General features: G+C 38.1%; 1 long non-coding RNA gene across 1 annotated transcript in view; it reads left to right on the plus strand.

Moving 5' to 3' along the window:
* The window catches only part of LINC02256 (long intergenic non-protein coding RNA 2256), a 43,851-nt gene that overhangs the window by 16,696 nt on the left and 4,786 nt on the right, over positions 1-22,369 (plus strand). The gene's annotated exons all lie outside the window — the stretch shown is intronic.

A 22,369-nucleotide genomic window follows, 5' to 3' on the forward strand; every position in this document is an offset into this window, starting at 1 on the left:
TATTCAGCTTCCACTTAGAAGTGAGAACATGCGGTGTTTGGTTTTCTGTTCCTGTGTTAGTTTGCTAAGGACAGTGGCTTCCAGCTCCATCTATGTCCCTGCAAAGGACATGATCTTGTTCCTTTCTATGACCGCATAGTATTCCATGGTGTATAGGTACCACATTTTCTTTTTCTAGTCTATCATTGATGGGCATTTGGGTTGATTCCCTGTCTGTGCTATTGTGAATAGTGAAGCAAAAAACAGACGCGATAGGAATGCTTTTACACTGTTGGTGGGAATGTAAATTAGTTCAACCATTGTGGAAGACAGTGTGGCAATTCCTAAAAGACCTAGAACCAGAATTGCCATTTCACCCAGCAATCTCATTCCTGGGTATATACTCATAGGAATATAAATCATTCTATTATAATGAAACATAATGTAAAAATACCTCGAGTGTATTTGTATTTTGGTAATATCTGAATAAGACATAAAATATAACGCACACATCTTTATATCGTTTTATCCATATCTCTCTTTCTTTAAATCCTTCTGGTTAAAATTTGTCATTGCCTCCTGACTATGTATTTATTTTTTCTTTTCTGGAAGAAAGCTCACCTAGGCCTTACTCAAATGCATGTTCTCAATCTTTACCTACCACCCCTCCTGCCTTTTTGTTCCAGTTTCCTCTTATCATTGTACTGATGTGGAGATAACGAAAGAGAATATCACTGTCAGCCACCAGCAGTGCCTTTTCAGAGAAGAGCAATGGGGAAGAAATTGAGCAGACAAAGCCAGAATCCCCATTAGCAAACAGAAAGAGGGAGCTCAGGATAACCACATACGTTAATAATTCTTGCCCCCCAAAGGGAAGCTCTGTAAAATAAGTTGTATTACATCCGTACATAGCAGTACTTTAAATATAACTCTAGCTTAAGTATTTTAAGCATCTCCATGATATGAACCTAAGGGAATAAACTCAATAAATCAATATTTATAAGCTCTGTTCACTTATTTCTTGTGGTTTCAGCCACTGATTTCAGAATATGCATGAAAAATACATTTCTTCTGAATATTTGATTTCATGATCCCAAGTAGACACATCTCTGTATTGGGTTTCAACAAGTCCACAGAAGTTAAATACCCACTTTTAGCCAGCTTTGATTTTCAGAAGTTTAATTCTGACATTTAGTGATATACAATATGTAAAACAACCTGGCACTATATCTGTCATATCATAAGTACTTGGCAAATATTTCAGTTTACTCTTTCTCATAATTGAATAATGGCTCAATAGTAAAACTCTGTAGGGAAAAATTTAACCTCTTATTTATCAGTTACAAATAGTTTAAGACAGATAATACCCCTTTCCTTGTTAGCTTTAATGCTGAGTCATTAAAATTGTGAGCAATGTATTTATTTTGAGGAAACTATTTTTTACTAAGGATTTTTTTTTTTTTAGAATTTTATGAGTCTTCAAAATAACTAGAAAATCTTAAAGTGTTACCAAACAGAAGTGGACATTTAATAAACACCTCAACTTTAATACTTACAGAAAATCATTTGAAGGCTGTCACTCCTCTGGGTATTATAAATTTTAGCCTCGGTCAAATCAGATCACCAGGAGGCTACAAAGTTGAACTATATTGCCTTAGTTTCCAACAGAGTTTCTTTCCTTGAATTAAGTTTTGGGGCCATGACCTACTCCTTTTAATAAAAGAACAATACAACAAATAGTCATATGAAATCCATTTTGTTGCCTAATACAAAAATATTGTTGAAGAGTATCATAATTCAATGGCCCATATATATAAAATGTCTCAGCAAAGGCACTTATGTCATAATTCAGTACTAGGAAATGATTTCCTTCAGGCAAGCTCCCCCTTAATTTTTTTTTTTTTTTTTTGAGACAGAGTCTTGCTCTGTTGCCCAGGCTGGAGTGCAGTGGCACCACCCTGGCTCACTGCAAGCTCCACCACCTGGGTTCACGCCTTTGTCCTGCCTCAGTCTCCTGAGTAGCTGGGACTACAGGCTCCTGCCACCACGCCCGGCTAATTTTTTGTATTTTTAGTAGAGACAGGGTTTCACCGTGTAAGCCAGGATGGTCTCGATCTCCTGACCTCGTGATCCGCCCGCCTTGGCCTCCCAGAGTGCTGGGATTACAGGCATGAGTCACCGCACCCGGCCCCTCCCCATTAATTAAGGTGAGAAATACATAAATGATGATGGTAGTCATTGACGCACCAGTTACGAAAGAGTGAGGCTGGGTAACTGGATGACACCTGCACAGGGCTCTGAGGTCTCAAGGAAAATGACAGGTGTTTGTGTATTTCAAAAATGTGGACATGATGGCATGAGGCCCAGTGAAGAAGGGGTAGATTATGAATGGTGTTATCCTGAACATAAGGAGACTGAGATAGTGTAGTTTTAAAAATGGCAGCATGAAAAAAGGTGAATGCTAACCCCACCCCACCTTACGGTAAGTGTCTGAAAAATAATCTTTCCAGGTACTACTAGTAGGTATTCTTAAAGGACAGAGGCAGCTTTCTGTTTGAGTAGGAAGGTATTGGAAGCAGTATATGAAGGAATAAAAATATAAAAGAGAGAAATATTGGAGCAAGAGTGGGAAGTATGGTTAAAGATAAAGAAATGGCAGAGCACTTTAGGGAAATATGGTGTGAGACAGAAAAGAGGCATTTTTGAGTGATGAAAATACTAATCATGGCTAACACTTACATAGCATTTATCGTATGTCAAGCATTTACGTGTATTAACTGTTATGATGCTCACATTAACCCCAGGAGGTCAGGCCTATCACTTTACAGGAAGTTTAAGCAACTTCTGAAATATTAACAATTCTTCTGAATTGCTTCTCTGGTGACAGGAATAAGAGTCGCAGTAGCATCAACTTGCTAAAAAGTTTAAAATGGTGCTCAGAATAAAGGTATTTTACTGCTTTTTGAGACTCATTGTAAAATGGCTTGAAATGTCTTTGCCCTGAATCTCTGCCAGTGGGAAATTGGATGAGTTGCTAAAGAATGTGGAATTAATTATCCAAAAACACTTTAGATATTTCTCTTTGTATAGGGTATTGTAAATGGTCTTTAGCTAATTATAATTTAATATCTCACTTGTCTCTCTCATACATAGGTATATATGTTATATACACATGTGTATGTGTACAATTCAATACATCTATGTGTCTATGTAGCTACCTATGTATGCATGTATGTATGTATGTATCTGCCTATCTATTAATCTATCTCTATGTATCTACCTACCTATCTATATCTGTGTCTATCAACTTCAGGAATGCTTGGCATTCTTCTAACATCTGCGGGGTATTTAGGGATTAGGCTATGATGATAGATTTCCAGCTTCATTTCTTTTTAAAATCTTTTATTCTTCTTGCTCATTTTCCTTTTCCTGTCCCTAAAGGACAGTTTCTCCTCAGTTTAGGACTTCTTCCTTTTGCTCTCTTATCATTTGCAGACTTTCCGTTCTCAGCCAGAACCTCCCTTTTGTGCACTGTACAACCTGTTGACACTGTCACAGTTGCCACTTGATCATTGCAGATAAAGGAGGAAGTAGCAATTCTGGAATGGGTGGCTTATCTCTTGGCTTTATAACTGGATATCTTCATCTGCTATTCAGTCACTCTTTTTTATTATGGAGACATGTTTTCTGGGAAAATGCTACCATGAAGCAGGACCAATCTCCAGTTCAAGGTACCTCTTGATTTGTTCATTCCAAAGCATCCCCTGTTAGGAATTAGGGCTCAGATCATGGGGTCATCTATTCTGTAAGTAAAAGGCTGACAAAAAGTCTGTTACTTCACTGCTCTTTACATTAGGGTAATATTAACAATGGAAATCCAGTTCATTCAATAAAACAAGTGTCGATGAAGAGTCAAACTCGGTAAAATATTTTAAGAGACTTATTCTGAGCCAAATATGAGTGACCATGGCACATGACACAGCCCTAAGGAGATCCTGAGAACACGTGCCCAAGGTGGTCAGGGTGCAGGTCAGTTTTATACATTTTAGGGAGACATGAGACATCAATCAAATACATTTAAGAAACACATTGGTTTGGTTCAGAAAGGCGGGACAATTCAAAGCAGGGGTGGGGGGGTGCTTTCAGGCTATAGGTAAATTTAAACATTTTCCAATTGATAATTGGTTGAGTTTGTCTAAAAACCTGGGATCAAAGGAAAGGATATGTCCAGGTTAAGCTAAAAGATTGTGGATACCAAGGTTCTTCTGAAGTCTTATAGTGGCTGCCCTTAGAGATAATAGATGACAAATATTTCCTATTCAGACCTTAAAAGGTGCTAGACTTCTACTAATTTCTTCAGGATTGGGAGGGCTTGGAAGAAAAAGATCTAGTTATGTCAATAGAGATTCTTTACAGATGCATATGTCCCCCAACAAAGGGCAGCTTTGCAGGACCATTTCAAAATATGACAAAGAAACTTGCTTTTGGGGTAAAATTTTTTTTACTTTCTTCTTTGTCACATAATGTTATGCCAGAGTCAGATTGCAAAGTAAGCCATGATATATAGGGTTAAATAAAATCCATCTGATGAGAATTTATGGTTAGTAGGGGATGACTCCCCAGACCCCTTAGATAAGAATTTGGGCAAAATAAAAAAATCAGAGCTTAGTCTTCACAAGTTATTGAAAAACAATGAGCTACCAATTTTATTTATTTATATTCTTTCAGTGGTCTTCAACAGGTGGCTCATGAATTCAGATATTTGACAATTTTAATGTGAAATAAATTTAAGATATTTCAACAACAATCATATAGGAAAATATAGATAAATAAGAAACTATAAAAGTTATACTTTCAAACCTTTCCCTCTCTAAGACACATGGTTTACCTGATCTCACACAGATATTGAACATACAATTTAATTTTTAAAATTAATTTTTCTCACTTTAGAAAACTGGCATCTTGAGGCCGGGCACAGTGGCTCATGCCTGTAATCCCAGCACTCTGGGAGGCCGAGGCAGGCGGATCACGAGATCAGGAGATCAAGACCATTCCTGGCTAACACGTTGAAACCCCGTCTCTACTAAAAATACAAAAAATGAGCCAGGCGTGGCGGTGGGTGCCTGTAGTCCCAGCTACTAGGGAGGCTGAGGCAGGAGAATGGCGTGAACCCAGGAGGCGGAGCTTGCAGTGAGCGGAGATCGTGCTACTGCACTTCAGCCTGGGCAACAGAGCGAGATTCTGTCTCAAAAAAAAAAAAAAAAGAGGAAAAGAAAATTGGCATCTTGAAACAAAAGAAAGTGTCTGCTTTCCCCTTAAAGAATCATAAAGAAATATAATCAATTAGACTCAGCCTAGAATTTAAAGCTTAATCAATTTTATTGATTGGCTTCAAGAATTTTATTGAAATGTCATATATTTATAAATTAAGACTAAGATGATACATATACTATCTACTGATTTTAAAATACAACAAATCATTTAACTAAATAAAATTAAAGATTGTAGTCTTTTAAACTTACCAACCAGAAATAATAATAAGCCAGTGAAATAAAAGATGTTCCAATAGAGAAATCCTTTGTCATTATATGACATACATTTTAATATGTTACACAGATAATCTGTGTATTTAAAATTTAATGATAAAAATTATTTGCAACATTTAACTGAAAAATTTTTATTCAGAATTTATCTTGAGACTTGCCATGTATTAATATAATTAATGTACCTTATAAGTAAATATTGATTATATTAAATTTTTAGAATTGGGTCGAATGTGTATCTCCTCTCCTCTGATAACTTAGTTCATTCTATGAAATGGTGCTAGAGACTAAGAAATACAGAGGTTCTGTTATCAAGTGTCATGAACATCAAGTGCCTTTTTCTCCACTAATGTTAGAATGCCTCTCCAATTATCCTCTTTAGTAAACTGTGAGCTGAAAATAGTGAAGTCTGATATTGCAAACAATGTCTCCAGTATAAAGCTTGCTTGAGATGAGAATCTTTTCTAAGAACATTTTTCTTGTCACATAAAGTATGTCACACGGTGGCATATTCCAACTTAAAGTTAACGTGTACTAATATAAAGGCCTCAGCGGAATGTATTAAGTGGATTTCTTTTGGCATTGGGTAAAGGAATCTTTCAAGGATTCTGTGGATATACAAACAAGAAACAAATTTCAAAAGAAGCATATGCACAAAATTTTTATAACCGGTTAGAATCATGATCTGGACTAAACACAAACAAGTGAACCAAAGTACAATACAATACAAAGCAAAAATTAAAAATAAACAGGAAATTTAATTCTATACGATGCAGAAACTATGTGCCAATACTCAGTGTAAACATACACTATTAGGAGGAAGTTGCTGCCACACAAGCAGATGACAAAGTTTAAGCAAAGCTGAAGAAGTTAGGTAGTGGCGTGCGGAGGGATCACTTTGATTATTGGCGTAGTTCCTACCCTCCTATTATTCTGGTTACCATACATTAGTGAGGTGTCTCCAATGGGTTTCGAGGGTTACAAATACCTTCCTGCATATTAGTCTACCTTCCTTAGAACTTCTTAAGATGGGCCATTGTCTCATGATACTCAATAATTCAGGAAAATCAATAATTGGGATTAAAATAAACCAATTAATTACATACTTCTTTATCTCAGTGTGACATAAACATACATTTTCAGACAAGTTTTCATTACTGGGCAACTATGGTATCTACCCAATGTTGTGGCCAAAGTTGGAATATTCACAGTTCCCCCATACTTATGCCCTCCGTGTTTTGGTTTTCCAGATACATGCTGTTGCTTGTACTTCAAATACACTTTCCCTATATCTCTGTCAATTCACGTCTTTCTCAAAAAGAACAGAGAAGTCAAATGGCTCCTCTACTAAACCTCTAAACATATATGATTTCTCCTGTCTTGACATTTTTACCAATTCCTATTCTCATTATAAGCTATGGTATCCAACTTGCACTTCTCTTCCTCTAACACCCCTGGCTTTCTTACCCCATTGTCTACATAGCTCAACTTCTTGCAAGTTGTCCATTCTTGCTCTCTCCTCTGTCTACAGCGATTTGCCTTCTGCTCCCACTGTTCACAAAACTTCTGTCCTCCATGTATTCATTTACAATGTTTTAGCCTTGGGCTGACCATACACCAGCTGTTCACAAAATTTATGTTGAACTGAATGACACTCGAATCAATAAATAAAGGAAAAAAGGGGAACAGAAGGGGAAGCAAACAACATCCTTCTTCACATGATGGCAGAAGGAGAAATACAGAGCAAAGAGAGAAAAGACCCATATAAAACCATCAGATCTCACGAGAACTCACTATCACGAGAGCAGCAGCATGGGGGTAACAGCCCCCATGATTCAGTTACCTCCCACTGGGTCCCTCCCACGACACATGGGGATTATGGTAACTACAATTCAAGATGCGATTAGGGTGGGGACACAGCCAAACTAGATCAGTGCTACAACTGACTTCACTGTAAATGAGTTTACAATGGGTAACTCCATATTATCTGAACCAAACAGCATAGAGAGACCTCAAGAAGAGTAAAGAAATCTTTGTCTCATGTACATGGTATACCATCAATAATGAAACTGAGGAAGATTCACGGAGGGAAGTCATCACGCTGCAGCAGGCAATTATATCTAAACCAGTGAGATATGAACAGTGCAAAGAAGAACTAGAACAAAGATACTGTCTGGCATAGAAAGTCCAGTATTAAAGACACAGAAGGCCCTACATTTGTCCAGTAAAGCCATGCTTGATTAATGCCTTGGAAACCCTGGAGACTGGATCAGAAATCTGTATATAAAATGGTTCTTCCTGGATAAAGTTGAGAGAAAAAGAAAGCTTATTGTGTTCAAGTAGAAACTGGGATAAGCTGTGGGCCATCTGGCTTTTCTGTTGCAAAAACCAGGGCTTAAATCTACATCTTTCTATAGTCATGAATGAGCAAACTGATTTTGAACAATCATCTAACAACGAAATATTTAGGATTCAAAAAGAATGTACTTATGAAAAGAATGTAACACAAGAAACTGAAAATTAGAAAATTTCCCCTTTTTACACTAAAAAAGACAGAAGAGCCATGACTTTTTAAAAAACTGGAGCAGTAAGCTTGTAGTGGGAAAAGTGATGGTGAGAAGTGCAGGCATAGAAAGGAAGCAGGTTTAAGTAAGATGAGAAAACACAAGGAAATCCAAAATCCCAAATAAAATAATTTTGCCTTAAATTTTATTATGTTTAATAGTAGACTGCTGTTTTCTTTTGTCAATTGCTGTCAGATAAGTTTTGCTCTTTTGATTTATTTTAAAAGAAACATTAACTCTTGGTTGGGCATGGTGGTTCATGCCTGTAATCCCAGCACTTTGGGAGGCCGAGGTGGGCAGATCGCTTGAGGCCAGGAATTCAAGACCAGCCTGGCCAACATAGAGAAACCCTGTCTACTGCAAAATAAAAAAAATTAGTCGGCTGTGGTGGCACATGCCTGTAATCCCAACTACTCGGGAGGCTGAGGCACAAGAATCACTTGAGCGTGGGAGGTGGGGGTTGCAATGACATCACCACAGTCTGGGCAACAGGGGGAGACTCTGTCTCAAAAAAAAAAAAAAAAATTAGTGGCCGGGCATGGTGGCTCACGCCTGTAATCTCAGCACTTTGGGAGGCTGAAATGGGTGGATCACAAGGTCAGGAGTTCAAGACCAGCCTGGCCAATATGGTGAAACCCCCTCACTACTAAAAATACAAAAATTAGCTGGGCATGGTGGCAAATGCCTGTAGTCCCAGCTACTTGGGAAACTGAGGCAGAAGACTCGCTCGAACCCAGGAGACGGAGGTTGCAGTGAGCCGAGATCGCACCACTGCACTCTAGCCTGGGCACAGAGAGAGAGCCCGTCTCAAAAAAAATAATAATAATAAAAATAAAATTAGCAAAAAATTAGCCAAAAATTCATTAAAAATAAATATAAATATATTTATATATACATTTTATTCATTCATTATATATACATTTTATTCATTAATAAAATCATTTTATTAATTCAATAAAATGAATTCATTATATATAATGAATGAATAAAATGTATTTTTCCATTAGGGATTTAAAAGGAGCATTGGATAAATTAAAAAAATTTTTGTCTTTTCTTTTGAAAAAATAAATTTAATGATGTATTTTTGGACTTTGATTAAAAATAATTCAATTTTATCTGTAAGCATAAATATTAGAAATACTCAGAGAAATTTAGCAGAAGGATAAGCATCATTTTGTAATGACAATAATTAAGTAGGGCTGCATAAGTGGAAGAATGGACATATAAATGCCTTTTTTTTTTTTTTTGAGACGGAGTCTTCGCTCTGTCGCCCAGGCTGGGGTGCAGAGGTGCTATCTATGCTCACTGTAAGCTCCGCCTCCCGGGTTCACCTCATTCTTCTGCCTCAGCCTCCGGACTGGCTGGTACTACAGGTGCCCACCGGCTGATTTTTTGTATTTTTTTAGTAGAGATGGGATTTCACAGTGTTACCCAGGATGGTCTCAATTTCCTGACCTCGTGATCCGCCCGCGTCGGCCTCCAAAATTGCTGGGATTACAGGCGTGAGCCACCGCGCCTAGCCAGATTTTTTTTTTTTTTTCCAGAGGCTGCCTCTGTAGCCCAAGCTGGAGTGTAGTGGCGCGATCTCGGCTCACTGCAGCCTCCGCCTCCCGGGTTCAAGCAATTCTCCTGCCTCAGCCTCCTAAGTAGCTGGGACTACAGGCACGCACCACTACGCCCGTCTAATTTTTGTATTTTTAATAGAGACAGGGTTTCACCATGTTGGCCTAGGATGGTCTTGATCTGACTTCGTCATCTGCCCGCCTCTGCCTCTCAAAGTGCTGGGATTACAGGCACGAGCCACCGCAGCCGGCCGACAGATTTTATTTCATCTGTAAAGTTCTATAATATCATTCACAATAAAATAAAAAGATATTATGCAAACCAAACAAAATTTTGCAAGATATGTGATACACTATACATAGAAAATAATTGCATATCAGTAAGAAAATAACTATAAATAGATAAAATCCATGAATAGTAACAAAAGTATAGGATATTAGAGAAAAAGTATTTGACAGAATGAAAGAAAAAAATGGTTGTTTTAGGATAAGTGGTATGAGATGCATTCATGTGTTACTTCATTAGCTTGTATGTATTTAATATATTCTATATGTGTTCAACAATTGATGCAGATTCAAAAACAAAAAAATGTTCGTTTAGTAAGGAGATACACAACAACAAAAATTTCCTATAAAAGTGGATTACAATAATGAAAGTATCTAGAAATCTAATTTTAAAAAGTGGTACTCATTATCTGGGATCATCTGGGAAGAACTCATTTAATAGACCATTTGAGTAGACACTTGAGGATGAAGATAAATTTTCAGGCAGATTAATAACAATGGGGAGAGTTTTCAAGGCAGAGGAGATGACTTTTATAAAACGAGGAAAGCATGAAGTTTATGTAGCTTGAAAAGTGTGTTGTATTCAGGTAGTAATGCACTGACTCCATCACTCTTGCATTTTGTTTGTTTGTTTTGAGGCGGAGTCTCGCCCTGTCGCCCAGGCTGGAGGGCAGTGGCGCGATCTCGGCTCACTGCAAGCTCCGCCTTCCGGGTTCACGCCATTCTCCTGCCTCAGCCTCCAGAGTAGCTGGGACTACGGGCGCCCGCCACCATGCCTGGCTAATTTTTTTGTATTTTTCTTAGTAGAGACGGGGTTTCACCGTGTTAGCCAGGATGGTCTTGATCTCCTGACTTCGTGATCTGCCCGCCTCGGCCTTCCAAAGTGCTGGGATTACAGGTGTGAGCCCCCGCGCCCAGCCACACTCTTGCATTTTTTATTGGAGGCTCTGAGGAAAGGTCTGCTTCCACGTTTGTTCAGATTGTTAGCCACACTTAGTTCCTTGAGTAGGTATTATTGCAGTCCCCATTTCCTTGCTGGCCGTCAGCTGGGACCAGCCTTTCCTCCTAGACTGTCCCTGTTCCTTATGCTTTTTTCATGGGCCTTTCCAGCAGCACGAACATTTCAAATATCTCTGCCTTTCCCTCCTGCCCCGTCTCTCAGAAATCAACTGCACATGGTCTCAGCTTTTAAGGGCTCATAGTGATTAGATTGGACTCATATACGGTCCTCATTTTAATATTCATAATTCTAACTGCAAAGTCTCTTTTGTCAGGTAATACAGCATATTCAGGTCTCAAGGATTAAAGTGTGAGCATCTTTGGGGGTTTTTATTCTGCTTACAACATTTACCTAGAGTATAAATTCAAGACATAAGGCAGAATCTTATGAGAAAAAGAAAGTACTATTTTGAACATACCTGTGGCAATCCTAAATGGGAATTAGATTCAGATTTGGCAGTTCTGGATAAAAGTGAAGGCTGAAGAAATAATTTGGTAGTCATCATGTTATACATTTTGTAAATGAAGCCATTATTATATATGAGAGGGTTAGCATTCACCCAGGGAGACTTCAAGTCAGTTTACAAAGTTAATATTCTATCGCATGTTCAATAGTAGCACCACCTTTTATTCAATTGGATAGTAGCCTGGGGTGAAGATTAAAAAGAAAGAAATATAACTATCTCTATATGGAGATGCCATGAGGTATAAAGAATTTGTATATAGATATATATGGAGAAATATTTATGCATACAGGAAATCCTAAGGAATCCACACACGCACGCACACATGCACACATTAAGATGATAAAGCTGTGATTTTTTAGGCATAACTTTGTAGTAAGATGTTACATCAGGAACAGGAAACTACTATAGCAAAGCACCCAGAACAGTCTAAACAGTCTTGAAACAGAAAATTTTCTACCAAACTATATTAATTCGGTGTTGCATTAGCATAAAGATAGACATATAAATTTAATGAAATAATATTGAGCATTAATCAATAAACCTTATATTTATGAGAAATTGATTTTTAAAAGGATGCCAAGAAAATTCAAAGGGGAAATAGTAGTCTTGTCAACAAATAGTGTTGGGACAACTGTACATATGCATGCAAACAAACGAAGTTGGATTCTGACCTTACCTTACACACAAAGTTGATCAAAACCTAAATGTAAGACCTAGAAGTAAAAAACTCATAGAAGAAAACATAAGCAAAATCTTCATGACCTTAGATTAAACAATAGTTTCTTAGATATAGCACCAAATTACAAGCAACAAAAGAAAAAAAAGGGGGCTATATTATGCTTAATTAAAACTAAATTTTTTCTTTAAAAGAAAAAGCCAAGGAAGGGAAAAGACAACCTACAGAATGGGAGAACAATTTTGCAAATCATACATCTTCTAAAAGACTTGTATTCAGAATATGTATCTTACAACTCAATAATAAAAAAACATATAACCTATTTTTAAAATGGAGAAATGATTTGAGTAGAAAATTCTCCAAAAAAGATACACAATAGGCAAGAAGCACATGAAAAGATACTCAACATTATTGGTCATTTGAGAAATGCAAATCAAAACCACCAGGAGATACCATTTCATACTATGATCAAAAAGAAAATAACAAGTATGTTTGAGAATGTGGAAACAATCCCACATAAATCGCTGGTGGGAACGCAAAACGATGCAGCCATGGTAGGAACAATTTTGCAGTTGCACTTTGGGAGGCCAAGGCGGGAGGATCACCTGAGGTCAGGAGTTTGAGTCCAGCCTGGCCAACACAGTGAAAACCCATCTCTACTAAAAATACAAAAATTACCCGGGCGTGGTGGCAGGCACCTGTAATTCCAGCTACTTATGAGGCTGAGGCAGGAGAATTGCTCGAACCTAGGAGGCGGAGGTTGCAGTGAGCTGAGACCACGCCACTGCACTCCAGCCTGGGCGACAGAGTGAGACTCTGTCTCAGAAAAAAAAAGAAAAAGAAAGAAAGAAAAGAAAAAAAAGTTAAACAGTGTTATCAAATGACTGGACAATTCTACTCCTTAGGAATATCTCCCAAAGAATGAAAAACATGTCTACAAAGAACCTGGACACAAATGTTTATAGCAACATTATTTGTAATGGCCATAAAGACAGTGCAAATGTCCATCAATTGATGAATGGATAATCAAAAAGTGGTATATCCATACAATGGAATATAATTTAGCCATAAAAGGAATGAACTACTGATACATGATACATGTATGAATCATGAAAACATTAAGTGAAAAATGCCAGACACAAAATGTCACATATTCTATAATTCTACTTATATGAAATGCCCAGAAAAAGCAAATCTATAGAGACAGAAGGTAGATCAGTGATTGCCAGGGGCTAGAGAGAAGAGCAAACAAGGACTGGCTAATAAGAGACACAGGATTTTTTTGTTGTTGTTCAGTGATGAAATTATTCTGGAATTTGCAGTGATTATACCATAACCTTCTGAATATACTAATCACTGAGTTGCATCCTTGTTAAGGACAAATATTATGGTGTATGAATTATATCTTAATTTTAAAAAGTACAGTAAATTAAAAACAAATTGTGTTTCAATAATAAAATATTATTTTAATATCACAAAATCAATTATTGTAATTCACTATATTAACAATATGGAAGAAAATCTCATCTCAACAGATGCAGAATATATTTTTTAATATGCAAACAACAATGAAATGTATTTAATCTGGTGAAAGATAATCATAAAATCTTACAAAAATATTATAATTAATAAGGAAATATGGAAAGCTTTCCTTATGGGATCAGAAACAAAATTCCCTATTCAGTTCAATAAGAAAAAAAAAGTAAGAATTAGCAAGAAAGAAATACACAGGTCATTATTTGCTAAGGACATTATTGTATATGTAGAATATCTAAAATAAAATATTAGAACGAATAACTAAATATAGCTATCAGGATCACTGGTTACAATATGAGCACATAAAAGTCTATTTTATTTCCTTACACTACCAATAACCAATTACAGAATAAAATTTTATAAATATACCATTTAGAATCAATATTTTGTTAACTTCATAAATTAACTGGAAAGTTTTTCTTTTGAAATATATTTTCAAAAATTGAAGAATTCTTCAAGTCAGTTAAATGGTTTTAAATATTTCTGGCCTGCAACAACAAGGTTAAATCTGCATGTGATAATGGATCTCCCTACTGATACTAGAACTATCCCATTACTGAAAACCATTTTTAGATATAAATGGCAGGCACTTAAGAATGACTTCATTTCCTGTGGTGTTCCTTTAAAACAATTTTCCAAAACAGGCAAATCTTGCTCTCTCTCTCTTTCTCTTTAAAAAGTAACACAGGCTTATTTTTAAAGTTGCAATCAAAACAGACAGGTAAAAAGTAGAAAATTAAAATGACCCATCAGGCTTGTCTTAAAATTAACTACTGATAATATTTTGGTATATGTCCTCATATGTTTTAACGTATTTTTTCAGGTTTGTTCTATCAAAACCTAATTTAACAAAATCTGAGCAAATCATCCACTTCCTTTTCTAATATCCTTTTATACTGTGTGTTTATACATGTGGTTATGAATATATGTTCACAAGTGAGGGTATATATACACATACACACATACATGTGTGAGATAGAGACATAGGCAGAGGCAGACAGAAAGGCAGAGAATAGCTAGGAAAGTTGAGCTCAATTTAATATTGTAATTATAATATGCATGCTATTTTAAAATTGCTTTCATTTCTGAATTTAGACAGCATATAGAACTTGATAAATACAGTAATTAGAAATCCGAGAGTTATTTGCATACTTACACATCTGAAGTATCTTCCTATGTACAGATAAACATTAACCACAATTATCTACACATGTTGCTTGAATTTTTTCCTCCAGCTGTCATGTTAAAGCCATGATTGACACTTGTTTGCATACGATTTGAGAATTTAATATTTGGTTGAAATTCTCTGATCCTAAAACATACTGCTTGGAAATACACATTTTGTTTTCATACACATGGGATGTTGCACGCATACCGAAATTAAAGAATTACAATTAGTTGGTACCCAGCTTGCATCCTTAAGCAATCTTTGTAAATACTATTTTTCTTATTAATGCTGCTTTCTGTTCTCATTAAGTTTCAACAGAGTACTCTCAGTAATTTAAAACATATTGTTCCTTCAGTTAAATAGGCAATTTCCCTCTCAACAAATGCCTGGACCTTAAAGTAAGGTGTGGAAATGGACAAAATAGTCCCAAATATTTTAACCAGCAATATAAACTTTTGCAATGCTTTTATAGGATGTTTAAAATAACAAGAAAGACTTGGTTCTCGTGATTTTCACCAACGGTGGTTACAAACAGTCTTCTTCTTTACTATGTTTGAATGGCATATTTCACTTCACATATCCTTTACTTGCTGCCAGAGCCTTAATATTGCTAGGGGGAAAAGCTTACCTAGCTCCGTGTTTGTAAATGTCAGCTAGCCAAAAGATATTTGGAAACCTATAAATGTTCGCCTTTCTAACATTTGCTTAAAGCTATCTGGAATTAACGTTCTCCTCTTTCCTCTTCTCTCACCTCAAGAAAAAAAAATCTGTATACAGAAGTTGACACAAAATATATTAAATAAAGCTGGTATTCAGCCCTCTTGCATTCAAGCAAGAATTACCCATGTATGTAAAACAGAAGAAAATGTCTTGATAGTATTCTGTACCCGTGCTGTCAAACTACCCTTTGATATGTCTGCAATTTTCTCAGTAAAACACATTTTGTTTATTTTGGATTAAGAGCAAGCTCTTGCATGTCTACCAGGATTTATTAGCCTGGTAAAGAGCAGCACTACACAGAAACAACGAATATAATGTGCTCTTTGCTATGGTTTTAAGTTCCCCTTCAAACTCATGTGAAATGTAATTGCCATTGAAACAGTATTGAGAGGTGGGGGCTTTAAGAAGTCATGCAGGCTGTTGTCGTTTTTTTTTTTTTTCCAGGTTTTTTCTATCAAAACCTAATTTAACAACATCTGAGCAAATCATCCACTTCCTTTCCTAATATCCTCATTTTCACTACTCTCTCCTTCAGCCGCAATGATCCATTCCATCATCTAACATTAATTTAGTAAAGATTTACTAAATCCCTTCTCTGTACAAATCATTTTATAGGATCTGAGTAAAGATACAGTGATTAGCATATGGCAGCCCTTGTCCTTTGACATGGCAAGAACAACTTTTCCTATTTTCAAGAGCTTGAGTATTCTGTCACTAATAGATCTAAAACTATCCAAGTTTACCTGGCCAACTTTTTCCCTTAAACTTCTGCCTCCCTTTTACAAAACTTCAAAAAAAAGAATTCCAAATTTAATCATGCTGTTAAAACAGATTTTCACATCATCCCGTAGTTACATAAAGGGCAGTCTCCTTAGCTCATACTTAAAATCATATCTTTTCAACCCTTGAGTATTGTTACCATTACCTCAAACGATCATATAGCTACTGTCTTTCAGGTTATTCACAATACAATAATTTGAATATGCAAAAACACCACAGAATTTAAATGAAAAGTAACTAACGCACCCTACTCCCCTCAAAAATCAATTAATAAAATTTGTAATTTCAACAAATATTTTTGAATATTTACAAATCAGAAACAAAAATGGCTAACTGGAAACACAAAACAGATAAAAGATTTGGTAAATTAACCCAACATGCAATTTTGAAAAATGTAAATTTAATTTTTACTTAATAAGTGATTTCTCAAAAAGTAACATTAATAAAGGGCATTGTCAGAAATTTTGAGTCTTTTAGGAGTGAAAACATCTGTTTGAACTAAAACTAGGAGACACAGAATGATGAGAACATATGAAGTTTTAGCTAAATATCCATGAATTACAAGGTTATTCTCTGTTGGTTTGGAGTACTCATTTACACACTAATACTCAGCTTTAGGAATTTAGGGCTCATTAACTTTGCTAAACATGGAATTTAGCGTTTTTTTTAAAACTACTTATCTCTTCACTATTTTTATATCCAAGTATACTCTTCTCATTACTCACAAAGGACAAATCTTCACCAAGCCCCTGCCCCTACAGTCAGGATAGTAATTTCATTCAAGCATCCCTTGAAAGCAATTATTTATGCTCGCTGCAGAAATTAGGGTAAATTTGTTGTGGTCCCATTTATTTTCTGGAGATTGGCGATTACATGTAAAATAATTTGAACGCTTGATAGATAGACTCATAAATATTTGGTTAATACAAGTAAAGCAGGGGGAGGCCAGGCGTGGTGGCTCACGCCTGTAATCCCAGCACTTTGGGAGGCCAAAGTGGGTGGATCACAAGGTCAGGAGACCGAGACCATCTTGGCTTACACGGTGAAACCCCGTTTCTACTAAAAATACAAAAAATATTAGCAGGGCGTGGTGGCGGGTGCCTGTAGTCCCAGCAACTTGGGAGGCTGAGGCAGGAGAATGGCTTGAACCAGGGAGGCGGAGCTTGCAGTGAGCTGAGATTGTGCCACTGCACTCCAGCCTGGGGAACAGAGCGGGACTCCGTCTCAAAAAAAAAAAAAAAAAAATGGAGCGGGGGGGCCGGGCGCGGTGGCTCAAGCCTGTAATCCCAGCACTTTGGGAGGCCGAAGCAGGCAGATCACGAAGTCAGGAAATCGAGACCATCCTGGCTAACATGGTGAAACCCCGTCTCTACTAAAAATACAAAAAATTAGCTGGGTGTGGTGGCGGGCGCCTGTAGTCCCAGTTACTGCGGGAGGCTGAGGCAGGAGAATGGCGTGAACCCAGGAGGCAGAGATTGCAGTGAGCTGAGATAGCCCCGCTGCACTCCAGCCTGGGCAACAAAGGGAGACTCTGTCTAAAAAAAAAAAAAAAAAGTAGTTACTTTCTTCTTCATCCCTTTCAGTGTGGCCACTATTTATAATGCAGTTTGGTTCATTAGTGTTTGTATTCCAAAAACACCCTCAGCCTTCCTATCCTAGTTTTAATGAATTATTAGGGTGAAACATAATAAGAGTCGGAGAGTCGGAGCTATACAGAAAGGTCTACTCAGAGGTGCTTTGTTCCTTCCTGTTCTGTTCCCACCACTCCTACTTTCCACTACTTTTTCCACTGACCCTGTGAGCATCATATTTATTGTTAATGGCAGTTACATTTTTACCAAGTGCTTACTATCTGTAGGCACTTGGTGTGTATTGCTTCTTCTGGTGTTCACAGCAACCTCTTGAGGTAGGCACTATTATTATCCACCACCACCCGCCCCGTTTTTTGAGACAGAGTCTCACTCTGTTGCCCAGGCTGGAGTGCAGTGGTGCGATCTCAGCTCACTGCAACCTCTGCCTCCCAGGTTCAAGCAATTCTCCTGCCTCCGCTTCCCAAGTAGCTGCAAGTACAGGTGCGAGCCACCACACCCATCTAATTTTTGTATTTTTAGCAGGCATGGGGTTTTGCCATGTTGGCCAGGCTGGTCTCAAACTCCTGACCTCAGGTGATCCCCATTTTTTAGATGAGAAAGCAGAGTCCCAGAGAGCATAAGGAGCTTGTCCAGAGTGGCATCTCTGATGCATAACCAGTACTCAAACCAGTATTTTTCTGACACCAAGGCCTGTGTGTAAACTGTAAAAGGGCTGTTTGGTACCTGCTTTCCTAAAGTTGTCTGATCCCTTCTCAGTCCAGGTCTTCCTGAAGCTTGGCACTTCTGAAGTCACCTTTCTGAAAACATTCTGGTAACTGTTAGATCCCTTGTTGTAGCTATTCATATGTTCTGTGTGGTTAAACAAGGTTCACAGTGGGCCACCTGGCCTTTGGAACTTGGCTGAAGAGGCTGCCTTCAGTTCATCCTCCCCACCCCCGTTTTCAAAACATGGGTTTCCATGTGTTCGTTGTAAATTAGGAAACATAACCATGTTTTGAGGCTTCATAGAAAACAAACGTCTGGGGTCACACAGGTTAAAGGAGGAACCAAATTCAGCACTATCACTGTTCTATTCGGCAGGCAATTCTGGGGCCTTCCTGTGTCTCAGGTTCTGTACTAGTTGTTTCAGGACTTTGGGATAAACACAAACTATCCCTGCCCTCAGGGGGATTAAGGTCAGGTGTACAAATGACTCTAATGCGAGGCAAGGCTGGATTCAGTGCTGGAAGAGGAGGGCATACCTAACACTACGGGAATTCAAAGAGGAAATGATCAGAATGAGGAGGGAGAGATGGGTCATTCCGGGAGAAGCTTCAGGGAAAGGCAACATTTGAAATGAGACTTTGGAGAGTGAGGGAGGTTTGGGCAGATGGATAGAGAGGATGCAAGGCCAGGGGAAAGGTTTGAGCCAGAAAGTCAGCTTGGGCAAGTGCATGGGTAAAAAAAGAAAATCCACTTTGGGAGGCCGAGGCAGGTGGATCGCCGGAAGTCAGGAGTTGGAGACTAGCCTGGCCCACATGGTGAAACCCTGTCTCTCCTAAAAATACAGAAATTAGCTGGGCATGATGCTGGGCACCTGTAATTCCAGCTACTCGGGAGGCTGAGGCAGGAGAATCACTTGAACCCAGGAGGCAGAGATTGCAGTGAGCTGAGATCACACCACTGCACTCCAGCCTGGGCAACAAGAATAAAACTTCATCAAAAAAAAAAAAAAAGAAAGAAAGAAAATCACAAGGCAGTGTGGGGAATGGTGAGTAATCTAATTTGGTTGTTGCAGAGAGGATGTAGAAGGAAGTGACAAGAGAGAAAGCCAGACAGGTGGCTTGGGGTCATCTTAAGGGCCTTTGTGCCAGTTAGGATGTTCCAGACTTCAGTCAGGCTGCCCAGCTCAGACTGGCTCAGACAATGAGGGGGTTTATTGGCCGTGTAATTGGGAAGTCCAGAGGCTCTAGGACTACAGAAAATTATTATTTAGTATTAGTTTGACAGCAACACCTTCTGTTTTCTGGGAGCAGGAGATGCTTGTCAAGCTGTAGGTCACTGAGTTGAATATTATCCTGCTTTATTAAATTGCCAAGGGCACGGTAATTGTTGAGAGGGGAGAAGTACACATGAAAGAAAACATGACCAGCTTAGAAATGTCAAATGATTATGACGTTGTTATAAAGTATTATAATTCTTTGAGCGTCTACTATAAGTAGAGAAACTTGAGTTCCAGGTTGTGGGCTTGGTTCCGCCAACAATCAGGAACGTGGTTTTGCATGAAGCCCTTCTTTCTTCTATAATCTTCAGTGTCCTCACCTGCAAAATGAGGCCTTTATATATATATATATATATATATTTTTTTTTTTTTTTTTTTTGAGACGGAGTCTCGCTCTGTCACCCAGGCTGAAGTTCAGTGGTACAATCTCTGTTCACTGCAAACTCCCTCTCCTGGGTTCACACCATTCTCCTGCCTCAGCCTCCCGAGTAGCTGGGACCACAGGCACCTGCCACCACGCCCAGCTAATTTTTTGTGTTTTTAGTAGAGATGGGGTTTCACCGTGTTAGCCAGGATGGTCTCGATCTCCTGATCTCGTGATCTGCCCGCCTCAGCCTCCCAAAGTCCTAGGATTACAGGTGTGAGCCACCACGCCCGGCTAAGGCCTTTATTATACTATGGTTCCTACTGTTTTTTAAAATACTTTTATTAAGTCCAACATTTTTATTAAGAACATTGCTTTTATACATGCCTATTTATGAAAGGGGTTTTCGAGTGTTTACCACTTTTTATTAGAAATAGAGACAGTAAGAATGTTTGACTTAATTGACACAGGCATAATTGAATGGGTATAAATGGCATGCCATAGAAAGAGAAAATTAAGTTGAGCTACTCTGTTGGTTTCACTGATGAGGGGATACATCATTCAAACAGCCAGGAATTAAATCCGTCCAGCTCACAAATGGGGAAACCAGCTGTGTCTGTACCCATGGCCAGCCAGACTGAACACAAATCAGGAAAGTCAGTAACTTTTCCTCAGTTCTGAGGGACTTCAGTGGCTGCGGTTCATTTTCCTTTTGCTTCTGAAACAGTGCAAGTTGATGCTCGCCTGGACAGAGCGGCAGTGAGTGGTGGCGTCTGAAGGCCAGGTCTCTGTTGAGATGACAACACGTCGTCTCCCAGTGCCCAATGCATAGAAAAGATACACTACTAAGTGTGAGATGCTCAGTGAAAAATAAAATCTGGGGTTGAATCATCATGGGGGATACTGCATACTCTGTTTCCCCCCTGCAGATTTCCAATGCTCATTAGTTTATAGAGACTCTGAGAATTCCTACAGCAAAGGCACCTGCCGAGGTACTTACAAACTAGTTTAGCTAAACCAGACTTTCAACAATTGGTTACTAAAGACCACTCAAAGTCTGTCAACACTCTGTCATCTCTATGTAATGATAGAAACATAGAAATTCAGGGTAAATGTTTAGAAATTTCTATAGAAACTTGACATTCTCCCAGCATGTGACATCAGGGGACTTGTCTCAATGAGCAGTTACAGACCAACTCAGGTTTTGTCAGACTCGATGGAAAGATGCAGAGGCTGTGAGCTGCAAACGAGTCACATACACAAGGACCACATTGCAAGCTGCGTTCTTTAAGGTTAGTTTGTCAACTATAGTATAATCTCACACATCTGAAAAATGGGAACATCTATTCTATAAAGTCTTATTTTTGCAATATTAATTTTAAATCAAGCCAATGTTAGCATTATTAGTGAAAACAAAAGAAAGTTGTATTATTTATTATTAAACCTAATTTGAGAGTGAAATAAATTGTATTAATTTTTTTAACCAATAAAAGATGCACCTTGTAAACCAAGAGATGATTATGAAAGTGATTCTGAGGACATGAAGACCAAAGGAGTTTGTCCTCGTTTTACTCAGAAGTACTATTTCTAATGGACAGATGATCCCTGACATACAATGGTTTGACTTATAATTTTTTGACTTTATGATGGTGTGAAAGTGATACGCATTCAGCAGAAACCATACTTCAGTATTCAATAAATTACATGAGATATTCAACACTTTAAAGTGGGTTTGTGAGAGAGAATTTTTGCCCAATGGAAGGTGAATGTAAATTTTCTGAGAATGTTTAAGGTAAGCTAGGCTAAGCTATGATGTTAGCTTAGGTGTATTAAATGCATTTTAATTTAATTTAATTTAATTTTATGTTTTGAGACAGTGTGTTTTGTTCTTGTCACCCAGGCTGGAGTGCAATGGCATGATCTCGGCTCACTGCGACCTCTGCCTCTTGGGTTCAAGCGATTTTCTTGCCTCAGCCTTCGCAGTAGCTGGGATTACAGGTGCGCACCAACATGCCTGGCTAATTTTTGTATTTTTAGTAGAGACAGCGTTTCACCATGTTGGCCAGGCTGGTCTCTAACTCCTGACCTCAGGTGATCCACCCGCCTCAGCCTCCCAAAGAGTTGGGATTACAGGCTGAGCCACTGCACCCGGC

Source organism: Homo sapiens, chromosome 15, assembly GCF_000001405.40.
Source record: "Homo sapiens chromosome 15, GRCh38.p14 Primary Assembly".
In the NCBI taxonomy this organism is placed as follows: domain Eukaryota; kingdom Metazoa; phylum Chordata; class Mammalia; order Primates; family Hominidae; genus Homo; species Homo sapiens.